The sequence below is a fragment of the Homo sapiens genome, chromosome 1 (assembly GCF_000001405.40).
Source record: "Homo sapiens chromosome 1, GRCh38.p14 Primary Assembly".
In the NCBI taxonomy this organism is placed as follows: domain Eukaryota; kingdom Metazoa; phylum Chordata; class Mammalia; order Primates; family Hominidae; genus Homo; species Homo sapiens.
The window spans coordinates 107569556-107596039 of record NC_000001.11 but is presented as its reverse complement, the minus strand read 5'-3'; the positions used below and the strand labels follow the sequence as shown (position 1 = coordinate 107596039).

General features: G+C 38.8%; 1 protein-coding gene across 11 annotated transcripts in view; it reads left to right on the top strand.

Annotated features, from left to right (window-relative positions):
- Positions 1–24879, top strand: part of VAV3 (vav guanine nucleotide exchange factor 3) — a 394020-nt gene extending 369141 nt beyond the window's left edge. For 9 of the 11 annotated variants that reach the window (XM_017000053.2, NM_006113.5, XM_024450319.2 and 6 more), the window contains 2 exons: positions 21842–21993; positions 22668–24879. In XM_017000053.2, coding sequence (XP_016855542.1) covers positions 21842–21993; positions 22668–22709 — 194 coding nt within the window. In that variant the 3' untranslated portion in view covers positions 22710–24879. Of the gene's footprint in view, positions 1–336; positions 17746–21841; positions 21994–22667 lie in introns of those variants that run through there. The other 2 variants (XR_007063680.1, XM_017000054.2) reach the window with 2 other exon arrangements.
- The last annotated feature ends 1605 nt before the right edge of the window (positions 24880–26484 follow it).

The following is a 26484-nucleotide window of genomic DNA, read 5'->3' as shown; positions in this document are numbered from 1 at the left end:
CATGTCTAATTATAGATCTTTATGGCAAATTAAAAATTATGTTTATGTCCAAAAATCCAGCAGAAACGTAAAAGATATGCTAATATTTACATTTCATACTTTTCATTGACTTTTATATTAACTAAACTCTTTTTAACTTACATGTAATGTGTGAGGTCATAATTCTGTTTGAGTAATAGTATTTAAGCAGGGCTGGTACACAGCTCTCCAGTTAGCCTAGTATCTCAAATCTGCTTATGGTCTATTTCAATGACTACTTTAAGAATTTTGACATTACTAATGTGTTTTTTTGGATGCTAGTATTTCTAAAACCATACATTGGCCACTTTCTTTCAGAATGAGCTGTGTGCTACAACTAATCACAAAAGATTAGCATGCAAACAAAAGCATGTTATGGTTGGACTGTGAGTCTAAGTCGAAAACCTTTTCTCTCATCGTTTAATGTTACATAATCTTCCTGGAGATAGAGCATGTAACAAAAAAATTGAAAAATGTCATCAAGAAGGTGTGATTTTATTTTCTTAATCTGATATCACTTTATTTTTTTTAAATAAGTGTTTTGGGGAAGAAGTGAATACAATTTCATTACTCTTAGAATCTTTAGCCTAAGCAACACTGGGATATCTAGAGGTATTTGAAAACAGAATTTGCGTCGGTTTAATATAACTTTATATTTTTCCTTGAAAGCAGAAACTGAAAGGGGAACAGGTAATGCTCTGGGTTTCAACAACATCAGTGAAGTTTTATACATTTCAATTCAAGTAAACAAACAATCTGTCACATCAACTGACATATTTTTTATTTAAGTAACTTAATATATGTTTTCCTCACAGTGATCAATGATGTATGCCTAAGCTCGTGCAATGAAAGTAGAGCGAACTTTATGTTAAAACTTTAAACACCTATTAGATTTTATGGTGTTATTTTTTAGCCCAAGATTACCTGATTATTTTAGATTCTCAAATAGGCATAATTTTTGCTCATTCAAAAATGGAAGTTTTCTCCAAAAAAACAATTTTCCTACCAATATCTTAAAACTCTGTTGAAGCTATGACATTTCCCCCAGCATGAAACATGTAATTTTCGAAGCTCTGTTTCTTTGCCTTCCCAGCAGCAAGAGATAATAAAAGTTGCCAGGGAGGTCAGTTAGATGAAAAATCCTGTTTGAGTTGTTCACTTAGCTCTAGAGAGCCTAGGAGGGAGAAGTGGGGCAGACAGGGAGAACAGATGTCCCATATTAGGTAGGAAGGTCACTAACCCTCATATTTCACTCTGTGGTTCACTCCCAGCCAATTCCTTAGTGTTTAGTACATGGAGGTACTCAGAGAATGTAGCCCGGCAATGAATGAAGTTGTCTAACTTAAAATTATGTCTCATGTTTAATGAAGTATTTAATGCTCAACTTGTTTGACAACTAAGAAGGGAATTACAGGACTTTTTCTTAAAAAAAAGCATAGCCAGTAGAATGTCTTTGAATATCCATGCTAGCCCCAGATAAATTTTTCAGCAAATAAACTCATGAGTTCAAACTTCCCTATCCAGTCTTTTTAAGAGATTCTGACAACTTGAATCAAGCCACTAAAACTTTTTTTTTGTAATTGTGAAGGGAAAGCAAACAATTCATTGAAAATTTTATATTTGTTATCGTTTGGTTTTGTTCATCAATTATTCATTCATTCGTTAAACAGATATATATTAAACACCTAACACATACAAGGCACTGTTCTGGTTCTGGGATATAGCAATTAAGAAGACAAAGTTCCTGCCTTTATGGAGTTTACATTTCAATGGGGAAACTCAGGCAAGTCTGGTTTGGAGGAGTTTCATATTTTTATATAGAGTGGTCAGGTAAGATCTCCCTCGTAAAGCAACTCAAAAGGAGAGAAGGGGTGTAGGTTGGTAATGATTGCACAGTGGTTAACACTCCAAGATTAGTCATTCGTTACTGCAAAGAAGGATTACAATCTTAGATCAAATTTGTGATACCATTCCAGTGTTTTATTTACTTTATACTAACTTTGTATAAAGTTAGAGGAAGACTAAGATGGTTCTGAGGACTAAATGAGGTGTTCTATATAAAGCACTTAGCATAGTGCTCTTACATGGTAAACAGTAAAAGTTACTGCTGACTCTACAACTTCTACTTCCTCTACTACTGCTGCTACTTCTAACTCTTATTCTAACACAGTACTTTCCTATATTTCTAAGGCTTGAATACATTTACTAATTATGACTCATAGCAATGTACATCTTTGCCTTTATGATTTTTTAAATATAACTTGCTTATTTTTATACCAAGTCTTGATAAAAGCTCACCCTTAAAGAAAGACTGCTTCTATTTTTATGCATTTTATACATCCCAGGAAGTGGTAAGGAGGAAATGCTGCATGTTTGTATAGAAAGATTGTGCAAGATGTCTTCATATTGCTTACCTTTGGTTCATAGCTTTAGGTATGCTGCTATCATCTAAAAATAACATTTGCCAAGCATTATTACCTTGGGATACTGGGTTGGACAGAAATGGCATCTCCATTACTTCTAAAAGTCCTTGGAGGATACAGAGCAGGCAAGGTAAAGCTTGGAACCATTCTGTGTTCTGAGTAGAGGTTGAGAATAGAACTTCAACTCCTGAAACCTGCTGTTTATTATTGTTATTATTTTTAAATAATCTAGTCACCTTGGAAAAGAAAGCCCCAGGGCACTGTAGTGGCCACTTACTTTTGGGCTACTCTAGGTTAGAATGTTCGTAGAATGTTTACCAATTATTTTTTCAAGTATGTACAATGTGATAAGATTATGACAGGACTATCTTATGCAAATTCAAAGTAACATCTAAAAAGATATTGATTAGAATTAAGCAAGTGTCCAAAGTATTGGGCAAGGAGCATAACATTTTAAAGTTAGGGGCCCATTGTAGGCTGTCTCTCAGCCTCTCTCCCAGAGTGATGGGATTTTATCTTTGTCTTTGGAATGACTTAAGAGCATTTCTAAGGGAGAAGAAAAGAGAGAAAGAAAAAGAACAAAGAGAGAACTCAGGCATAGCAGGGAGCTCTTGGGCTTCCTCTAGAAACTTCAGTGACTCCATGAAAGATGTTCTATGGATCTTTGTAAAAATCCCATTATTTTCCAAAATGGTCATCTCAAACCTGCCTTAGATTGCTTTAGGTTTACCTGTAGGGCTTGTATATTTGAAGGGCATTAAATTGACTTTTGCATTTCTTGCTCTACAATGAACACATAATTATTTTGAGGTCTGCCAGAGTAGCTGTCTGACCTTAGGCGAGTCACTTAGCCTGTCTGGACCTTAGCTTTCTCATCTGATGAATGAGGAATGAAATTAGAGATTTTATAATGTTCTTTTAAAAATAGCATCTTAGGTTTTTTCCTTTGTTTGCATGAGAGAAGCAGGTAAGGTAATGTTAACAGATTGGTGCATTAGGAAAAGTTGTATGTTTAGCTATTTTGTGACCCATAAGCAGACCTTAAATATTTTGCCAAGTTTTTATTTGTAGAGAATTAGTTGGGCCACAGAGTAGAGTTGGGTAATTTTTTTAAATGGCTATCACTATATTTATATAATATCCAAGTATCTTCTGTAAGAACTTATTAATTACAAAAGGGTAATAGTAATAACCAAGTGATTGAAGTTAACATCCCTAATAATGGGACAAATAAATATCATGTACCTCCTAATATAATGCTCCAAGCAGGACAAACCAACACTTTGGTGGTATTATTGTCCCCAAAAAGCATAAGTGGAATCTAATCATGAGGAAACATCAGACAATCCCAAACTAAAAGACATTCTGCAAAATAATTGGTCTATACTCTAAAACCTTCAGTGTCATTAAAGAAAAAGTCTGAGGAACTGTTTCAGATTAAAGGAGACCAAGAGATGTGACAACTACATATAACATGTGGTCTTGGATTGAATCCTAGAACAGGGGTTGGGAAGATACATACACACACACACACACACACACGTATGTATATATATGTGTGTGTGTATAGTAACATATTTTGTATATGTTATAAAATATGTGTGTATATATGTTGCTATAAAAGATGTGATACAATTGGCAAATTTTGAATAAATTCTCTTGATTAAAAAATAGTACCGCATCAATGCAATTTTCTGCTTTTGATAATTGTACTGTGGTTATATAAGAGAAGAGAATACCTTTGTTTTTCAGGAACGTGTGCTGAGTATTTAGCAATAAGGGGCATTATGTCTGCAATTTATTCTCAAGTGGCTCAGGAAAAATACATAGATTGATAAAGCAAACATCATAAAATGTTAACATTTGGGGAGTCTGAATGAAAAATATGTGGGAATTCCTTTTGCTCTCCTTGCTACTTTAAGTCTGAAATATTTCAGAATAGAAGTTTTCAGTTGTGGAGATGATCCCATTTGCTGGCTATATCTGAAGAATTGGGAGGTAGTGACAGTGTCCTTCTTTTGCCTGCTTCAGACATAGAAGCGTCTGGTCCATTGATTTCAGGACGTGTGGAACACTAGCATGTACTGAACAGATCATATTTGAAGCCATCCGTTCCTTACCTGTGACCTCATTGGATTTGCTTCATTCATTCATTCATTCATTTATTCATTCATTCATTCATTCATCCCTTTATCCTGAAAATATTTTCAGTACTTAGTATGTGCTAGGCCTTGTGCTAGATACTTGAATTATAATAGTGAATAAGATACACAATCTGGTGAACAAGAACAGACAAAAACAAACACCTTCAATAATCACAAATTTTGATAATCCTTATGAAGCTGAAGCATAAGTGCAAGGAAATGGGAGCAGGGCCATTTAGCCTTCAGGGTCAGAGAAGGGCTTTTTGAAGAAGTGACAGTCAGGCTAAACTTAAAGGATCTACAAGAGCTGACAGGGTGTGGGGTGGTGGCCAATAGGGAACCTGCATAGCAAAGAGGTCGTTTGTGTGAAGGTTCATAAGCATTAGAGAACTTCATATTTTTAAGGAACTGAAAAAGGACCAATGTGTTGTGAGTATAGTAAGTGGATTCTGATATTTGCACTAGGAAAGTATTGAAGTTTTACAGACAGAAAATGGCATGAACTAATTTACATTGTCTTAAAAGACCACTGACTGTTCCTGAGGAGTGGCCTAGAGGGAGGCATGCACAGAGGGAAGATGAGTTAGGAGGCTATTGCAGATGTCCGTGAGAGGGATAAGCATGCTTTGAACATGAGTTGCATAGTGACAGCAGAGAAGGATAGTGGCAGGTTTGCGTATATCTTAGAGGTTGAGTTGATTGGATAAAGGATTTGAAATCAAATTAGTACAAGTATGGTACATAAGTATTTGCTTTGGACAACTGGCAAGTGATAAAACCATTAACAATCCAGGAAACAGAAGAGATAGAACAGATTTAAGAGAAAAGAGAATATATTCAGTTTTGCACAGTGTTTAGGTACCTGCGGATATTCAATGGTTCAGGATGCAGCTGGCACTGAGGAGAGTGGTCTGGATTGAAGGTAGAATTTTATGAATCATTAATACTCCATTTCATAGTTCACATAGAATATAGTGATGTGAGAATTATAGGCATTTGTATATAGGCTTAATTTCTTCTGGTGCATTGTTTGCTGGAGCCCTAGAAGCCAGGACCCTTTGCTTGTCATTCTCAATTGTACTTTTGCACATGCCTTGCATGAAATAGCCTCAGAAGGGGCTAAATAAGAGAAGTCAGAGTCTAAGGTTCACAGGAGACACAGCAGATATTAGAGTGCTAAGTTGAAACTGGAAAAGCATGGGAATATGGGTGAGTTTGAAAACAAAGTGTAGATCAGCATGTTCCTTTCAGTGTGGTGACAAATAGTGTAGCAATTCTTCAAAGATTGACAAAGGCTACTTTTGTCATTGGAGCCATAAGTTTGACCTTGCAGGAAGAAGTAGAAGCCAGAACAGAGCCTAGGCTGTCTCTCCCTGGGTGTGGTCTCTTTCCTGTCACCCACTGTCCCCATTATTCTATTCACCATCCAACAACATGCTTATCCTTCATTTTTAGTCAGTATTTTGGGTAGAAACAGAAACTTGGATAATTTGTGTCGTATTTATTTAACTCAGTAGAACATAAAGTAGCATTCTTATTCCTGATAATTCCTTAAACATCCTAATAATTCCTTAACTACTATTTATTAGTTATATTACAATAGAATAGAGACAATATTTATTATCTCCTTCGTACAGGTTCCTAACCATCCACTTAACTTAGTTTCTCCCTTGCCCTTTTAATTCAGCATTCCCATATTCACCTGCCTTTATTTTCTGATTTTATTGTATCCTCAGTTTTTTTGTCATCTTTTCCTCGGTCATTTTGCAATTGGGTTTGATATGATCTAATTTTATTCTGGTAATTTAAATATTTGTTTTAATCTCATTATATTGGTTTCCTAGTACTGCTATAAAATTATCACGAACCAAGTGGCTTAAAACAACAGAAGTTTACTCTCTCACCCTTCTGGAGGCCAGAAGTTGAAAACCAAAGTGTTAGCAGGGCTAATTCTTCCTGGAGGCTCTGAGGGAGAATCCCTCCCATGCCCCTCTCCCAGTTTCTACTGGCAATCCTTGGCATGGCTTGGTTTATAGATGCACCGCTCCAGTCTCTGCTGGTCTTCACGTCACCTTCTGTGTGTATCATTGTCCCTTCTTTTCTCTTATGGACACCTGTCATTGGATTTAGGGCCCACCCAAATACAGCTTGATCTCATTATGAGATCCTTAACTGAATTACATCTGCAAAGACCCCTGTTTCAAATAAAGTCACATTCACAGGTTCACAGGTCCTGGGTGGGCATATCTTTTTGAAGGGCCACCATTCGACCCACTGCAGTTCCACTGTATTAATTTTAAACTTTTCTCTAAAATTTTCCATCCTTATTCTAATTTTTCTTTTTGTCATTTTGTAACTTGGAGTTATAAGAGGACTTTACATTATTACAGCAGTCAGGCAGTCAGTGAATGAGATTTATACAAGAAAAACACTACTTTAATACAAAAAAAAAGTGTTTTCAATGAATTGTATTGCCTTTCCATGGTGAAATGCCTTATCTTTCTGAGAGACTGCACTTCTAGCCAATGCAGGCTCCTAAACAATACTTGAATGACCATTTGTCTGAAACATTGTATTAAATATTTTATATGGAATAAGAGAACCTAAGAATTCTGAAATTCAATAATTTGATGATTAACAGGACACTCTTACTTTTCAAACCCCTTTTACAAATATCAGATCAATATCTCCAATGGAGTATTCCAGGAATCTCTAGCCCTGTGAGAAGTACCATGAAAAGATTTCTTTTGTCAAACAGATATATAAGAAATGCTGCTAGTATGATGTATTCCCTTCTAGGAAAGTGACAGTTTATCTAGAGTTTTCCCCAGTTTATTTCATCATGCAACACTGTCTCATAGTGTTTAATGCTCATGTTAGGAGGCTTAAAAGAGTTAGTAGGTGTGAAATACTGAGAATAGCATCTCACATGTGGGAAGTGCTATGTGTTTTGCTCCTGCTATTACTACTGCTGCTCCTGCTACCACTTCCAATACTGGTACCCAGTGTGAAGTGTTACATTAGCCTCATTTGACAATTTTAAGTATATTTATAAAGTCCTTCTCCTTTTCCCTGATACTTTGGTTTCCTACTTCTATTTCCTGGATACACACTATTCCGGTATACACACTATTCTATGGACTAAGTTAGTTATAACATATTGCTGACATTTTTATATTCTTCTCTCTTCATTTATGATGTCCACATAATTTACAGTTCTTGAACAACTGATCAACTGCAATTGCACATCTTCATTAGTAAGTGATGCTGGGCTTCCCTTTTTTATTTAGTTACTTCAGGATCTTTACCAGCTACTCTAAAGCATTTTTATTCTGAGCCTGATGGCTTTAAAAGTTAGCAACCAGTATCCAGGATCCCTTCAGAATATGGCTTGCAGGTGTAAATTCTACAGATTCAGATAACCTCATTCAGTGCTATCTTTTAAATGTTTCAAGGCTCAGAGCAGTACTTATGATCTTAGAATTTCTCATCTTTTATACTGTTCATTAATACTTTTATAGTGTCTCATATAACCTCATGTTCTAAATTGAAAACTGGTCTCGGCCAGGCAGAGTGGCTCATGCCTGTAATCCCCAGCACTTTGAGAGGCTGAAGCAGGTGGATCATTTGAGGTTAGGAGTTTGAAACCTGCCTGGCCAACGTGGTGAAACCCCGTCTCTACTAAGAATACAAAAAATTAGCCCGGTGTGGTGGCACGCATCTGTAATCCCAGCTACTCGGGAGGCCGAGGCAGAAGAATTGCTTGAACCCAGGAAGTGGAGGTTGTAGTGAGCCAAGATGGTGCCACTGCACTCCAGCATGGGCAACAGAGGGAGACTCAATATAAAAAATAACTACATACATAGATACATGCATACATACATACATACAAACATACATACATAACTGGTCTCAATGCAGTTAATTTACCATAGTGCTTTCATATAACAGCCCTGATCCAAGAATTTGGTTTTACTAGTCTCTTGCTTGAAAAACAAACAAATTCATCTAAATGGGGAGAAATTCCCAGTTTTTCTTCCTAAAAATTTAACCAGGCTCCTAGTTATGAGGATCAATGCTGATATCTCTTTTTTCCTGATATATGACTGATATTTGATTTTCCCTGCTGAATCCCAAATCTGCATAAGGTAGCAGGTTTTAACTCTGCAGCTCTCTTGCTCTTAATAACATTAATAAGCTGACTACATATTCGGCTAGGGTTTCCTTTCATTAAGTTATACTTTCATTCATTGCTTCGTGCATTCAACATTTGTTGAGCCTCTGCTTGCATTAAATACTATATCATACTCACGTCTCAAGTGTTACATACAATACAGCTTAACATCTAAACAATAGGTAGGAATGCCAGAGAAACTCTTCTTGTATCTAGGCACTTCAAACTTACCATCCCCATTAGCCCTAATACAAGTTTTTTTAAACGTTCTGTAACACTCCTGAGAAGTCATCATCAGGCTTTGCTTGAACACTCAAGGGACTTTATGTTCAATACCACACAAAACACCCTATTTTCTGAACAAATTAAGTTTTTTTCTTTTATTGATCTAGAAATTTGATGTACTATAGCTATTTACTGTGATTAGTTCAAAATAAATATATATTCTTCCTACCAAGATAACCCCAAATATACTATAAAAATAATGCATTGTACATTCAAAATAAATATACTATATACTCTCCCTCTCATGGTAACTTTTCATCTGGTATGTTCTTTCCCCTTCCCCATGCTTCCTTCCTACCTCTTCATTCCTTCCTTTTCTTTTTCAAAATAATTAATCAATTCCTCATCATGTAAATGGTTGTCAATTTCCCACCATCTTCACCACCCTCTGATAGATGCACTCCAATTTGTCAGACCGGGCACAAAAATTTCAATATTGCCTGACTGATTGGCTCAGATTTTTCTTTATTCAAAACTCATTCTTCAACAGTTAATTTCCACCCTTCCCTTTCTCCTTCCTCCTCAAAGGGTACAGTTCTACATATTTCAGTCGAATCCAAGCACTTCTTTCCTCATTTACTGTTTAGTTGTTGCATCTTCACCATTAACCTCCTCCATAGTTCCCCACATTCATTCATTCATTATTCATTAATGCATTCATTCAACAGATCTTAATTGAGAGCCTACTTCAGGGCAGGCACTGTTAAAATACAGCAGTGAATAGCATGGATAAAATTCCCTACTCTAATGGAGATGCCACTTGCTAGTAGGGAAGGTAGCTAATGGATTTAGAAAAATAATTAAGTGTATTATGTTAGACGTTACTGAGCGCTCTGGGAAAAAAAAAAAAAAAAAACTATGCCAAGGGAGTGGTACTCATGAGCGCTGAGGGATGGCTTACAATTTTTAACTGGGCTGGTTGGGTGATGAAAAACAAAACTATAGTCTCATTTTCCCTCTTTCTGGTAGCGTAGCAGAAAGCTGGTTCATCACTTCTGAGTTAGTTCAATGGTAGAGCAGGCTGACACCAGCCACTGGCTCTAGAAGCACTTCTTTCTAACAGGCCACTTGTGTGACCAGGGAGCTTCTGCTATTATAAGTTTGCATAAATATCCTGTCAATACATAGAGCAGGATGCTGAAACTGTAACTACAGTGTGTGTAGAGCATTTGTGCCTCACCTCAGCAGTAGGACAATGGGAGTTTGGGAGATTGCATGCACGCTACCTACTTCTCTGATTGTGTGTTGTTCCCACAATAAGCTCTGTTTCTGTCACCATCACATGGCACTAGTGGTGTGGATCCATGACTTTTATAGGACATCACAGCAGGTTTCATTGTGAAGGTTGCATTTGAATCAAGACTCTCAAGGAGGTGAAAGAGAGAACTGTCAGTGCTAAGGGAGGGGTATGTCTGACTGGGCAATGTGGCCAGAGCAGAAGGACCAAGAGGAAGAGTAGCTGGAGATGAGGTTCAAGGGGTAAGTGAGGCCAGATCACTTAAGGCCCTAAAGGACTTTAGCTTTTACCCTTGAAGAAACAGGAAACCATTGGAGGGATGTGGGCAAAGGAGAAACATGGTCTGTCTTTAAAGTTTTAATAGGATTATTCTAGTTTCTGTATTATAATAAAAAAAACCATGAAAATAGATGACAGAGTAGGCACAGGAAGACCAGTTAGGCCCATACAGCAATCAAGGTAAGAGATGATAGTGGCCTGGAACAGCACGTAGCCATATAGGTGACTATATTTATATTTTGAGGGTGATCCAAAAGGATATTATGACACATCAGATGTGATGTATAATAGTAATAGAAGACTTAAGAATAATTCTAAGGTTTTTGCTCTGAGCAACTGGGAGTTTGGAAGGTTTTGTTTTGTGTTGAGGGCTCCAATAGAGCCTAAAGTCTAATCATAGCATTCTCAATCCAAAATCAATCATTTCCATATCTCTACATAATTTCTGTCTGTGTCTATCTCTTCACTAATTTCTAAGCTCCTGTGATGTCAGAGGCTGTACCTATTCATTATATCTCCTATGATATCTTAGCAGTCTTTGGCACATTAGCAATATAATACATGTCTGCCAAATATTTTTTAAATATAGATTTAGAATTAACATCTTGATAAGCCATATGCATATAAATAATCTGAAATCCCTAGGCAGTTTTCCATAGCAATAAGAAAGACCTTATACTTAGTTTGTTTTCTTGTTAATGGCTTTATATGTTTATACTCTGTAGCATTGAATACTAAGTAGTAGTTTATTTTTTACAATAATCCTAGACATAAGTTTTCCTTGTTACAGCTTTGGACTTTGGGTTAACAGAAATTTGTCTACTTACCAGATGTCAGCATTCAATTAAATGAAATTAATCTAAATTATTCCTAGTTTTTTTTCAGTGACAATATATAAAATATACAATAAGCTTTTTTCTTGTAAATTTGTTTGAGTTCATTGTAGATTCTGGATATTAGCCCTTTGTCAGATGAGTAGGTTGTGAAAATTTTCTCCCATTTTGTGGGTTGCCTGTTCACTCTGATGGTAGTTTCTTTTGCCGTGCAGAAGCTCTTTAGTTTAATTAGGTCCCATTTGTCAATTTTGGCTTTTGTTGCCATTGCTTTGGTGTTTTAGACATGAAGTCCTTGCCCATGCCTATGTCCTGAATGGTAATGCCTAGGTTTTCTTCTAGGGCTTTTATGGTTTTAGGTCTAATGTTTAAGTCTTTAATCCATCTTGAATTGATTCTTGTATAAGGTGTAAGGAAGGGATCCAGTTTCAGCTTTCTACATATGGCTAGCCAGTTTTCCCAGCACCATTTATTAAATAGGGAATCCTTTCCCCATTGCTTGTTTTTTGTCAGGTTTGTCAAAGATCAGATAGTTGTAGATATGCGGTGTTATTTCTGAGGGCTCTGTTCTGTTCCTTTGATCTATATCTCTGTTTTGGTACCAGTACCATGCTGTTTTGGTTACTGTAGCCTTGTAGTATAGTTTGAAGTCAGGTAGCATGATGCCTCCAGCTTTGTTCTTTTGGCTTAGGATTGACTTGGCGATGCGGGCTCTTTTTTGGTTCCATATGAACTTTAAAGTAGTTTTTTCCAATTCTGTGAAGAAAGTCATTGGTAGCTTGATGGGGATGGCATTTGAATCTATAAATTACCTTGGGCAGTATGGCCATTTTCGCGATATTGATTCTTCCTACCCATGAACATGGAATGTTCTTCCATTTGTTTGTATCCTCTTTTATTTCATTGAGCAGTGGTTTGTAGTTCTCCTTGAAGAGGTCCTTCACATCCCTTGTAAGTTGGATTCCTAGGTATTTTATTCTCTTTGAAGCAATTGTGAATGGGAGTTCACTCATGATTTGGCTCTCTGTCTGTTATTGGTATATAAGAATGCTTGTGATTTTTGTACATTGATTTTGTATCCTGAGACTTTGCTGAAGTTGCTTATCAGCTTAAGGAGATTTTGGGCTGAGACAGTGGGGTTTTCTAGATATACAATCATGTCATCTGCAAACAGGGACAATTTGACTTCCTCTTTTCCTAACTGAATACCCTTTATTTCCTTCTCCTGCCTAATTGCCCTGGCCAGAACTTCCAACACTATGTTGAATAGGAGTGGTGAGAGAGGGCATCCTTGTCTTGTGCCAGTTTGCAAAGGGAATGCTTCCAGTTTTTTCGCATTCAGTATGATCTTGGCTGTGGGTTTGTCACAGATAGCTCTTACTCAAACAACCCCATCAAAAAGTGGGCAAAGGACATGAACAGACACTTCTCAAAAGAAGACATTTATGCAGCCAAAAAACACATGAAAAAATGCTCACCATCACTGGCCATCAGAGAAATGCAAATCAAAACCACAGTGAGATACCATCTCACACCAGTTAGAATGGGAATCATTAAAAAGTCAGGAAACACCAGGTGCTGGAGAGGATGTGGAGAAATAGGAACACTTTTACGCTGTTGGTGGGACTGTAAACTAGTTCAACCATTGTGGAAGTCAGTGTGGCAATTCCTCAGGGATCTAGAACTAGAAATACCATTTGACCCAGCCATCCCATTACTGGGTATATACCCAAAGGACTATAAATCATGCTGCTATAAAGACACATGCACACGTATGTTTATTGCATCACTATTCACAATAGCAAAGACTTGGAACCAACCCAAATGTCCAACAATGATAGACTGGATTAAGAAAATGTGGCAGATATTCACCATGGAATACTATGCAGCCATAAAAAATGATGAGTTCATGTCCTTTGTAGGGACATGGATGAAATTGGAAATCATCATTCTCAGTAAACTATCGCGAGAACAAAAAACCAAACACCACATATTCTCACTCATAGGTGGGAATCGAACAATGAGAACACATGGACACAGGAAGGGGAACATCACACCCTGGGGACTGTTGTGGGGTGGGGGGAGGGGGGAGGGATAGCATTGGGAGATATACCTAATGCTAGATGACGAGTTAGTGGGTGCAGCGCACCAGCGTGGCACATGTATACATATGTAACTAACCTGCACATTGTGCACACGTACCCTAAAACTTAAAGTATAATAATAAAAAATATATATATACAATAAGCAGTAAACAATAGGGTTTTAGGTCATTTTGTTTGGGAGAGATTGGGGAGCAGATAGTTGATACTCTGTCTATGAATTTTGCAGGGCATCTAAAACGATATGCCTGAGTTCTAAAATAAAACCAGGGTAAGGATCACAAATTTAAATTAAGCATTCATTAAATTCTCAGCATGTTCTCTGGTGTTAGGCCATCTGTAGACAATCTTGGCAAAACGAACCTCCTAGACTGCTCATCAAAGCATCCCACTTAGGAGTACAGTTCTTCAGCAAAACATCTAGGGCCACTGCTGGGCAGCAAACGCAAGTGATCAGTGTTGACAGTACCATTGACCCAATCTTCTCATATTCTTACTAACAACTTTTTGTTACCTGAGTGAGAACACATGTGCTTGTTACAACTAAAAACTGAGTGTTAAGGAATGTCTGTCCCAGAGAATACTTAGCAAGCAACTTAGGGTAATGTTCTCTGATACATGTAAAGGATAATTATTAGTTCAAAAATACTTAGGATTTGATAACTAGTACCTGAACGAAGAGTGTCGATTAGGTTGGTTTCCAATGTGTAAAAATTTCAAATATTACTGAAAACTGAGTAAATTTTCATCTGCTCATGAACATTAATAGCACGATCAAGGCAGAACATAATACTTTAAAACAATCCTTAGCCTTGGCAACAAAAGTATAGGCATCAAATATCCAGTCACTAGTACTTTTTTATCCTACCATAAACACTGTGTTCTTTTTCTTTTTAATTGGCATTCTTCTGTGTTTTGTGGTGTTATCTTCTCAGTCAGGTCTCAGAACTGAATAATAACCACTAATGATTTGCCAGTCAGTTATTATGGCTATGCTGATAACTTCTATTCCAAGTTTATTTATTTAACAGATAACTTCTATTTATATTAGGTAATGTTAGTACTTCAGGTTTTGCTTAACTTGGAAAACTTGATAAATAATATTTGACTGTGCTCTTAATAGTTCCTAATTGGAAACTTTAAGTCACTAAATTATGAGCCACTGAGTCATTTGCTAATAATGCCCCATGTATGTTAGCTCAGTTGAGAGCCAGGTGTCATACACATGCAAAATAACCAGATACCTACCTAAGTGTGATGGTCTCTCTAAGCAAGGTGGCCTCCCTTGCCTATGCTAATATGGAGTTGAAAGTGTTTGTAAAAGGGGGAAAGTTATGCCGTTAAACGAAGCATCCAGTTTGCAAATGATTACCTATTGAAAAAGGTCGCAGTATTGGTGTAATATTATCTAAGTGGATGCTAATATGCATAAAAGAGTTCTCTTTCAAGAAGCTTCCAGAACAACATGATGCAGGTAGGTTGTCTATAATGTTAGGCAGTGAATGAAGAGTCCGGGAGATGATAACCACCTCAACGTTCCCATTTAAATGTCACTGTTACTGGGCCCTTTTTAATTCTATTCCAGGACGTGTACCTACCAATAATTTTTACTTTAGAAGTTTCTTGGTGTGGTAGGAGGAGTTTGATGATGAAACCATGCATCCATATATATAGAAACAAGTGGATATATTATCAGTATGGATGGAAATATATTTTACAGGTTAAATCATTCTAAAAATATTTTTATCAAATACCTTATTCTGATATTGCTTACATCTGGGTTTAAATCCATACTTTCCTGGAGAAACATGTTATCTTTTACTCTTGTCTCAGTAGGTGCCAGGCATTCAAATGCTGTTTTTCCAGCTCAAAGGAATTAAGGACCCAAAGGCATTTACCATTGATATATAGGAAGAGTGGCAACAATAAGTCACGCTACAGTGTGTAGAAAAGTAGAAAGCATCCCTACCAATCCTTAAAATGTTTGGCTGAGAGCTATACACTGGGTGGCAGGAGAAACTGATTAACCTTTTACTCCTAAGAAGATTCCTCAGGCATAGAGTATGGTTAATGCCGTGAGACATACAGTATTTAATAGGTGTTCAGCATCTCAGAAAAAAAAAATAATAGTTATTTTAGGAATATCACTGATAGATGGTGGTGCTCAGGAAGCCTGCGGAATAGAACCCGAATATATTTCGCTTTCTTTGCTTGGTGTTTTGCTGGCCTTTGTTGGAAGTCTTATGGAGCAGTTTAAGTGAGCAGAAGATGAGCTAAAGGAATGGAAGGAGGAGACATAAGGAACTTGCAGAATTAAATACCCTGCCGAGATACTTGTCCATTCAGCAGCTTCAGTTGCTTAGCACTGGACCTGATCCTGTGGAGGATGCAGAAGCAATATTAGAACTGGCCCCTGCCCTCCAGAATCGCTGTCTAATTGGGGATACAACACAGAACGTACAGTAATTAAATATCAGAGCCATGAAGTGCCATGATGCAATGCCTACCAGAGGGCTAGGAAAGGTCAAAGAAGGGGCCAGAGTGTTGTCTGGATTGTCAGGGAAGGCTCCTGGGAGGGGTCTGGGCTGGACTTTTGAGACAGGGAAGTTAAGGTCAGCAGAGGTCGGGGAAGGAGCAGCATTCCAGAATGAGCAGATATTTGGAGTTGGAAATGTAGCTGAGGGCCTCAGGAGGTAGTAGGAAGCTGGTCTGGGTAAAGAGAACACATGTGGAAATGGATGCAGATTTCATTAGAGAGACAAGAGTGGCCAGATTATGAATTGTCATGGAATTCAGGCCAAGGGTTTGGATTTCATAATTTAGCAAATAGCATGATAGACTTTACATCAAAGGTGAGCTGCTGTGAGGCAGTATTTAGAACAGAAGAGAAAGAAAGCCAGAAGCAAGAAGACCATTTGGCTGGCAGTTTTCTGAGAGTAGGAATGATATAGATACCTGAATTGGGATGGTGCAGCTGAGAATTACTGAACGATTAACTTCATATTGCAGAGAAAGAAAGCACTTTACTTAGAAAGGCGACAAGGAGGGCTGAACGGTGTACTAACTTTGCAAGGCTAGTTCACAGAGAGAACAGGAGAGTTCTTGCAGGGGGGAAACATGGGACTTTGAGCTAGATTACAGGGAATAAGTTGAGGAATTTGGTTTCAGACACATTAAATCAGACATAAAAGCTAGTCTTCATAGCAGTGTCATGAAAACATTTGAAGCCATAGTCTGAAATTCAGGTGAGAAGCCAAACCATATCGAAGAATCTCCTGCATTCATAAGGGAAAAACATTAGTTTAAGTGAAGACAGCAGCGGGGCCAAAGCCTAACTGTGAGGGCTAACTACTGTTTGGGTGGAATTATAATATTTTAGATAAGATTTAAGAGGATTCTAATTCTAGCTACTTGATAGGAATGCGAATGATGATAAGGCTTTTAGAGTTAGATAAGAGAGAGGGCTAGCACCCTGATATTCTGTAATTGAAACAGAGTTTCAAGTCCTTTGGTCAAGTATTACCCTTATTCCTTCAGGAATAGTAGATATTTTAAGATTACAGATAGGTTATCTTATCTAATTTACCTACCTATTGTTGAAATTATTTAATTTGCATTTAACTGTGTTTTCACTGGCTTATCATTTCTCTCTTCTAGAGCTAACTTATCTCTTGTTATATTCCAGACTCTTGGTGTAAATTACCTTCATTGAAAATTTTGGAGAAATATAGTGTTTTATTTCTTTATGGATAAAATAGTCCCAGAGAGAGAGACACAAGGATGGACACTTAGAAAACAGTCCCAGCTACTCGGGAGGCTGAGGCAGGAGAATGGCGTGAACCCGGGAGGCGGAGCTTGCAGTGAGCCGAGATCGTGTAACTGCACTCCAAACTGGGCAACAGAGCGAAACTCCGTCTCAAAAAAAAGAAAGAAAGAAAACAGTCCAAGGAGAGAATTCTAATGCCTGACAGAAGTAATGTTTAGAATGAGGGCTTCTAACTGAAGTTTTCACAGACATAGGATAGAAATCTTAGCACCAGATTTTCTGCCAATAATAGAGTTAGATGTGTGTCATTTGCTCATTAAAATGGAGGTGGCATCCTGTCCTCTAAAATTATATCATGATCTCAAGAAAATGAAAATGTACCATTTCTACTGCATGGCTGAAAATGATTTGGGCTGATTATAAAAATTAGTTGTAATGGCATGTATCAGTATACTTAAAAATAAAAAATGTACTGCAGAATGTGCAATGGAATAGAAAAGGACTTTGATTATCAACAAGAGTATACTTCATGGTAGGTGAAAAGTAAACATGAGGCCATTCATGAGAAAAGTCTGTCATTAATGCATCAGTGTGTATATGAGGGCTCCAAGGCCATTGATTCTAAGAATAACTAAACTCCCTCCAATTCTCTTGGCCAGTCTGTTTGGGTGGTGTCTGGGAATCTCCTTAATAAGTCACTGCTATCCACAAATATCACTAGGACCCTTTCATGACAAGAGTATTAACTTTGGAAGAATTCTGTGGCTGTCAAGTCAAGCAGTTACCTGAACAGAGGCAGAATATATTGGAAGATGATGTGAACTCATTCCCAGTTGTCTTAGCTCACTTTTACCTCATGCTTGGCTGTAGAAAACTTTTTGTCACAGTTCAGATTAGGCCATGGTACAAGTAACAGCAACCCAAAAACCTTAAATAGGCTTCAAGAAGATAATTATTTCTCTTTCCCAAAAAATCCTAGAAATACTCCAGGGCTGGAGGGCAGGGCTGGTCATCTCTGTTCCAGGAAATCTTTAGCGATCCAGTTTCTTTCAGGCTCATGCTCCACCATCCTGAAGGGGAGGCTTTCCTCCTCATGAACCAAGATAGTAGCTTTCATATTCCAGACAGCAGGATAGAATGAAGAGCCAAAAAGAAAGGCAAAGGCGTGTGTCCACTGTATTGTTAGGAAAGGTCCCAGAAGCTGTCTCATGACACTTTTGTTTATATTCCATTGGCCAGAACTTGGTTGTATGGCTATACCGAACTGCAAGGGAGGCTGAGAAATGTAGCCTTCTCTCTAGGCAAACATAGCCCAATGCATAATCTAAGACATGAAAGAAGGGGAGAATAAATACTGGGAGAAAGTATACAACCACACCTTCCTTTTCCATTGCAGTGGCACCATAGTATCAGCAGGTCAATTTATATAGCTGCCTGCGGAGGTGCCTGAAGCAGAGTGGCAGTTGCACAGTAGTGCAGCAGTCGCTAAGAGCAGGTACCCTGGAGTCACATCACTTAGGTTTGAGTCCAGATTTTTCTCATATGTAAAGGGGAAATAATATTAGTACCTTCCTCTTAGAGCTGTGACAATTAAGTGAAATACTGAGTATGGCACTTTCAGCATGGTACCTAAGACTTCAAAACCATTTGATAAATGTGATTAGCTCTTATATTAAAAGTAAAATGAAAGTTTTAGAGCATCCATAGACATGTAACTTTTCTGTACATCTCTACAATGTGGAGGATGTATTTACTTTTTTCCAGCTATAAGAGTCAGAGTGGTTTTCATTTCTAACTGCACTTTTCTCCTTTTGAAAATAAGCTGGGATGTGCATGCTTGGCTGGGAGGATGGAGGTGGTTTGTAACAAATTGTATGAATAATTTTCTTGAATTTTCCATGGGTTCTGCATGTTTCATTGATACCATCTTACAGGCTTTTCTTTATAATAGTTTTGATGTGAAGGATTACTTTACAGTAAGCATCTACAGGTTACCCCTTTCCACTGATGTAACAAAGTGGGAATTGGGCACCACATCAAAAGGATGAGGCCATTGTTGGCCATCCTTGGATGGATGGGGTTCAAAGATGGCAATGTGGAGTGGGTATTCTCTGTGTTTGCCTGTAAAAGGATAGACAGCTCTGAATTGCAAAATACTATTGTCTATCAAAATGTAAAAGTTTGGCTTGTTCTTCATTTAGAAATGGTGATAGGAAAGAAGTGGGTGAAAATGGTTGTGTTGAGATATTTTTGCCAATACCTAAATGCTCTTTTGCTTCTCTCTTTTTCTTTCTTTCTCAAAGCCCCCTCTTTGTTCTGTGGCTTTTCTTTTGTAACTCCTCCAGACTACAGCTTTGTTCCCCCTTCTTCCACTCCTTTCTGGTCAGGTACTGCTTTACTACTTTTATTTGTCTCTTCAACTTGCTTCTGCTTGCAAATAAAATATTTGAGTTCCATGTATGGCTTCTCATACGGATACATCTCCTCACAGACAATCCCTCGAGTTCCATTACCACCATGCACTTTACTCTTCTCTGTCATAGTCACCGTTCATCATGACATTTCACTCCTCTGGTGTTTGTGTGTGTGCTCATGCCATGAGACATTCTATAATTTATCTGTTGGGGAGAGTTTGCAGAGGGATGGGGCTGAAAGTATAAAGGGGGATGAAAAATCTATAAAATCATTATTTTTCTTGAAGACCAGAAAGTTTAGTTGAAAAAAGCCAATGTTTATGTATTTTCATGAAGAAAATAAATAGAAATAAAATCCCAACTTTGTTTTCAAATATAAAAGTAAAATTCAGTACACATTACTTGAAAAGATGACTGGCGCCCATGAATTCTGCAGTTCTTCGGTTTGTGCATGGGCATTTTGGTCTTGATTTCTGTCATTACCCAGAGAGTTTAATGGCTATTTACATGACATTTAGGGTATACATTAGATAAAGTCTGTTTTCTGACCGATTTTTAAAAATTAACCTGCACATCCCAATAAAAATCATAGAATTTAAAACTAGAAAAAACTTAGAAGTCATCTAGTACAAACATTTCATTTCATAGATGAGAAAAAATGTGGCCTTGAGGGGTTAGGAGACCTATGCAAGGTCACCACACAGTTGATGATTGGGTTTTTCCATCATAGGGGTGTTTTTATGTGCACCGACTCTAACAGTAGTGCCCCAGTAATGGGACAGTTTTCAGTGAGAAAGCTATTAAAGTGGTTTGTGTCCTGAACAGTAAAACAAAATGACCTATTTTTACTCCCTTTACAGTTCTGAAATCTAGAGTATTGCCATTCATTTATTTCGTGATGGACACCTGGAGTCTAAAAAAATTTCTGTCATTACAAAGCCATGAATAATAGGTCAGAGATCCCTGTGGCCAAGTGGGCAGGCTCTTCCAGGGTAACACAGGTCATAACTTCTGCTGCCTGAGCCCTGGGAACTGTTAAAAATACAGATGGTTGGTGTTTCCCATTTGTCTCTTTTTCTTACACTTAAGTTCCTTTACCATTTAAGATTTATAAAGTTTCACCAACCTCCGATGAGTGATTCTCAGAATCACTGAACATATAATTGAAAACACTTTATAACCCCAAAGAGCAACAGGTAGAGAAGTTAATATAAAGCGTGCCATGAAACACTAGAGACTAACAAACATGAACCACTGGAATGGAGTTTTCTTTTCAGAACAGGGCCAGCAGGGCCAGGGAGAAAGTTAGCTCCTCTCCTGCCATCGAATATTAAACACGCGCGCGTGTGCGCGCGCGCGCGCGCACGCACGCACACACACACACACACACACACACACACAGAGAAACTCAACTCTGAACACAGGATATTTAATACCCTGACATCTTATTTTTGATTAGATACATCAGTAAAGTTTTTCTGTAAGGCAGTATTTGTTTCAAAGAAAGAAAATATAGATGGTATTTGTGTGTTCCTTCTCTGAGACCTGATTCACACCTCTTCACTTAGGTGAATTATATAGAAAACAATAACTAAATTTATCCCCAAATAGTTTTAACATAGAAAGCCTTGTTAGGGAAGAAAGTGCCACTTAACCAGAAGTGATAACATAGATTTGACAAGAGACTGACATCAGAGCAAAATATTTCGTTGTTTTGAGTGTTAGTTAAAGCAGTTACTGGATAAAAACATAAAGCTTTACCTTGGAGGTGCTGGTTAGATTACTGGGCCATCAATAGGAAGTGTATGATGAAATTATTTTAGAATCTATCTCCTTAGATACTTAGATATTAACGAGTTTTTTTAATTTGTTTTTTTGTTTTGTTTTGTTTCATTTTTATAAAAACTAGTCCTTACTTTGATTGAGGTTCTTATGAAGAATGGAAAAACAGGACAATGGTTCTTTAAACTTATGAAGCGAATTTGCTTGCACCTGATTGAATTGAAACAGCAATTCTGCTGCTTTCAAGCTCCTCTGCCATTATCGCTGGTCTGTAATGAAATCACGACTGTGCATTTGATAGCATCAATAACATTCATCTGATTAGGTTGTTATGGTTGTTAACGAACTGCAAACCTACTGTCATTGCTTGTCATTTCTTGACAGTGTTAAGTCCAAAAGTGCTGGGCATTGCCATCGCTCGGTATGACTTCTGTGCAAGAGATATGAGAGAGTTGTCCTTGTTGAAAGGAGATGTGGTGAAGATTTACACAAAGATGAGTGCAAATGGCTGGTGGAGAGGAGAAGTAAATGGCAGGGTAAGTTGGCCCTCTCGATGTGCTGGTGCATGTGAAAGAAGGGGACTGAGCAGTTGTTTGCACCCATTGTGGCACCAGGGAGAAGCCTCTATACTGTATTACAGCTTTCAGCCCACAGGCCTCTGCCCTCTGGAAACTGGTGCTGTGTTTTGCTGATACCAGGGACTCGCTGAAAATATTTGAAATGAATATGATAGTGACATAAATAAAATTCACCTGGGCAAGTGGGACAGCTTGCTGCTTGGAAAAGAGTCGAGGAGCATTTCAGTTCTTTTTAGACCCTGAGCCATAGAGCTAAACTTTATGTGTATTGCAAAATATCTATAAGAACTGCTGATGTAAATTGGAAAGAATGGGACATAGTACCTCTGTCTTTTCATCCTGTTCTACAGCAGAAATAGGAATCATTATGCAGCAGAGCCCCCCTGTATTATACTTAATTTACATATTTATTTGTGTGCTAGTGGATTAGAACACTGTTTATTTTATTCCTCCATTTCGATCATTTACTCTATTAGGCTTCTAAGAGCAGTTAAACCAATCTTCTCACCTACAATGGACATAAAACCCCAGTTTAATTGGGGTGTTATGAAAACAAAATACTCTGTTTGTAGAATCCTTTGAAGTGTCAGATACAAAGTCATGTTGCTGTGTTGGTTGCTTTTCTTTTTTAGGTGGGCTGGTTTCCATCCACATATGTGGAAGAGGATGAATAAATTCAAATCCCGTGTTGCACCCTGCACCAAAAATTTCAGAGAAGGGATAAATAGAAGCCTGCACAGCATCGTGAATTAACTGAAGTGTTTAAAAAGCTGCATTTCTGGCTGTTCAACATCCTCCCTCCTTAGCCCCTCCTAAGTCTTAATGCTGAGATTTCTAAAGATGCTGGTACTGACAGATTAATGGCTTGCCTAGAGCTGTGCAAGAAACAGCCTGCCAGTCTGTCATTGTCAGGGACCAGGGCAAAACCAAGAGCTGTTCTTCCCAGAAGAGCCCTGCAAACACATTGGTTCGTGCTTCCCTTTACTTCTTCTGGTCAGATACCATGAATGCCAGTCATCAGTAAATCTTAATACACTTTTGCTTTATTCTCACATGCCATTCACCAGATTATTTGATGGTACAAAGAAGCAGAAGTGTAATTTTCCTTTTCCCAGCATGACGAAAAATTGGAGTTCTGCCATTTGAGCAGCTTACTGGAAAGATCCAGCCTTACTTGTCTTAAATTGTCCAACAAGGTGACTCATTGCCCGGCAAACACTTTTACCCTCAGATGTTACTCATGATATTATAAAATATGAGGCCAGTGCTCAGGTTTGCATCATAAGTGAGCTATCCCTGAAGGGTTTTAATTACTTATTTGGTGTCCTGATTATATTTGCAAACTTCTTTATAAAAGGTGAAAAAAGCACACAAAAGAGAGGGTGTCTTCATATTAAACCTTCACAACCTTCATGATTTCATAGGATTATTTTGGAAATATAGCACTTGACTTTATGAAAGGATCTGGGCTAGGTATATTAAGGGTAGTTGCCAATAACCTGAAGAAGCTGGCATTGTTTACAGAAACAGATCAAGGGCTATAATTTATGTCATTTTATAGCAGCAGTATCTATTAATACATGCCTTTTCCTCCCATCCACCTCCCCCGCACACACACAAAGATGACCTGGGACATGATTTTTTTATTCCCACATTTTCTTGGAGCACAAACAACTTTGTTGAGGATTTTGGAAGGAAAGCACAACTGGGTCCTTTATTCATTTCTGGGACAGAAAGAGGGTCAGTGGACTTTTGTGGGCCTCCAGCTTCTCTCAGAGTCTCCCCCTCTGCAGCCCATCCTGGGAGTGTATTAACTGGAGGGAAGATGGGTCTTGCAGTACATTTGTTTTGCCCAGCCATCACTCTTTTTTGTGAGGAGCCTAAATACATTCTTCCTGGGGTCCAGAGTCCCCATTCAAGGCAGTCAAGTTAAGACACTAACTTGGCCCTTTCCTGATGGAAATATTTCCTCCATAGCAGAAGTTGTGTTCTGACAAGACTGAGAGAGTTACATGTTGGGAAAAAAAAGAAGCATTAACTTAGTAGAACTGAACCAGGAGCATTAAGTTCTGAAATTTTGAATCATCTCTGAAATGAAGCAGGTGTAGCCTGCCCTCTCATCAATCCGTCTGGGTGCCAGAACTCAAGGTTCAGTGGACACATCCCCCTGTTAGAGACCCTCATGGGCTAGGACTTTTCATCTAGGATAGATTCAAGACCTTTACCTCAGAATTATGTAAACTGTGATTGTGTTTTAGAAAAATTATTATTTGCTAAAACCATTTAAGTCTTTGTATATGTGTAAATGATCACAAAAATGTATTTTATAAAATGTTCTGTACAATAAAGTTACACCTCAAAGTGTACTCTTGGAATGGATTCTTTCCTGTAAAGTCTTATCTGCGACTCTGTCTCGGGAATGTTTTGTCTGTTGCCGTCAGCCGAACTTTGTTATGGAGGGAGCAGCCTCACACAAGCAGAAACACTCCTGTGGATGGTATTGTAGCATGTATTGTTTATTTTAGTCAATAGACCCTCTCCTTATAAATGGTGTTTAGTCTTCCTGTTGCATTTCATGGGCCTGGGGGTTTCCTAGCAGAGGATATTGGAGCCCCTTTTTGTGACATTACCAATTACATCTTTGTCCACGTTTAATACTTTGTTTTGGAAAATTTAAATGCTGCAGATTTGTGTAGAGTTCTAATACCAAAGACAGAAGTAAATGTTTTCCATATACTTTGTCTTGCCTGTATGCAGCCCTCGTGTAATACGGTGAATTAGAGTGGTATTTCACTTTGTATTATTTTGTAAATATGTCAATATAATAAATAGTGACTAAATTGATTTCTAAGAGTTGGAGTCTTTTTATTGAATGATCCCTGTATTAGTCAGGGTTCCCCTGAAAATGGATGGCACTGGATTGTTGGGCCTGTACCAGGCCATCGCCAGCAGTCCAGAGTGAACAGAAGCAGTGTATGTGTGGAGGTCACCACCCCCCCGCCCGCCAGCCCCGTGGACGCTATGCGTCTAGTAGGAGGGCCGCTGCGGTGAGTCTTGAAGCCCAGGGCTGGGCCCGGGCAGAGCCGCCGCAGGTGCAGATGTTGGTGGTAGTAGCACATATTCTAAAGAGAACTTCAAAGGCCGAAGTGGAGAAGGGTTCCATGTGAACAGCAGTTGGACATGGGTCATTCGGTCCTGAGAAATAGGTGAGCGCCATTCTGAATGGACAGGCGATGGCCTCTGTTGCCCTCAGCCAATCGAAAGGGAGTCCGGTTCAGATCCCGAATCCGGAGTGGCGGAGATGGACACTGCCAAGCGTCCAGCACAGTAATGCGAAGGATCCCAGAGAAGCCAATGGAAGCCCCGGGGAGAGTTCTTTTCTCCTTGTGAAGGGCAGGGCGCCCTGGAATTGGGTTCGCCTGGAGAGAGGGGTCCGCGCCTTGGAAAGCGTCGCGCTTCCAGCGGCATCTGGTGAGCTCTGGAGGGCCCTTGAAAGTGCGGGGGAGAGGGTGTAAATCTCGCGCCCGGCTGTACCCATATCCACAGCATTCCTCCCTCTGGAACTAAGACCTCTAGGCCAGCACAACAGAATGTCGCGGGAACAGGAAGCAAAAATTTTGCTAGTGGATCACTTAGGGTGATGGTGAGTGGTGCCACTTCCACTTCCACCCCCTGATTCCTGGACCCTTGAATCCTGGCCATGGGAGAAACAGTACCATACATTGGACACTGATTCAGAGCATACACGGCCTTCTAAAGAATTTTGTCCCATCCCTGCAAAGTATTGTCACCTAGTTGGCATTGTAATTGTGACTTCAAAAGGCCATTCCACCTTTCTATCAATTCAGCTGCTTCAGGATGATGGTGAATTCCATGAGCATGAGCCCACTGCTACACTTCTTTAGCCATAAAGTGAGTGCCTTGGACAGAGGCAATGCTGTGTGGAATAGCATGATTGTGGATAAGGCATTCTGTGAGTCCACGGATGGTAGTCTTGGCAGAAGCATTGCATACAAAATAGGCAAACCCATATCTGGAGTAATTGTCTATTCCAGTGAGGACAAACTTCTGCCTTTTCCATGATGGAAGAGGTCCAATATAATCAACCTGCCACCAGGTAGCTAGCTGCCTGATCACCCCAAGGAATGGTGCCATATCGAGGGCTCAGTGTTGGTCTCTGCTGCTGGCAAATTGGGCACTCAACACTGGCTGTAGCCAGGTCAGCCTTGGTGAGTGGAAGTCCATGTTGCTGAGCCCATGTGTAACCTCCAACCCTGCCACCATGGCCACTTTGTTGATGGGCCCATTGAGCGATGACAGGAGTGACTGGAGAAGGAGGCTGAGTGGTGTCCACAGAATGGGTCATACTAGCCAGTTGATTATTAAAATCCTCCTCTGCTGAGGTCACCCATTGGTGAGCACTCACATGGGATACAAATATCTTCACAG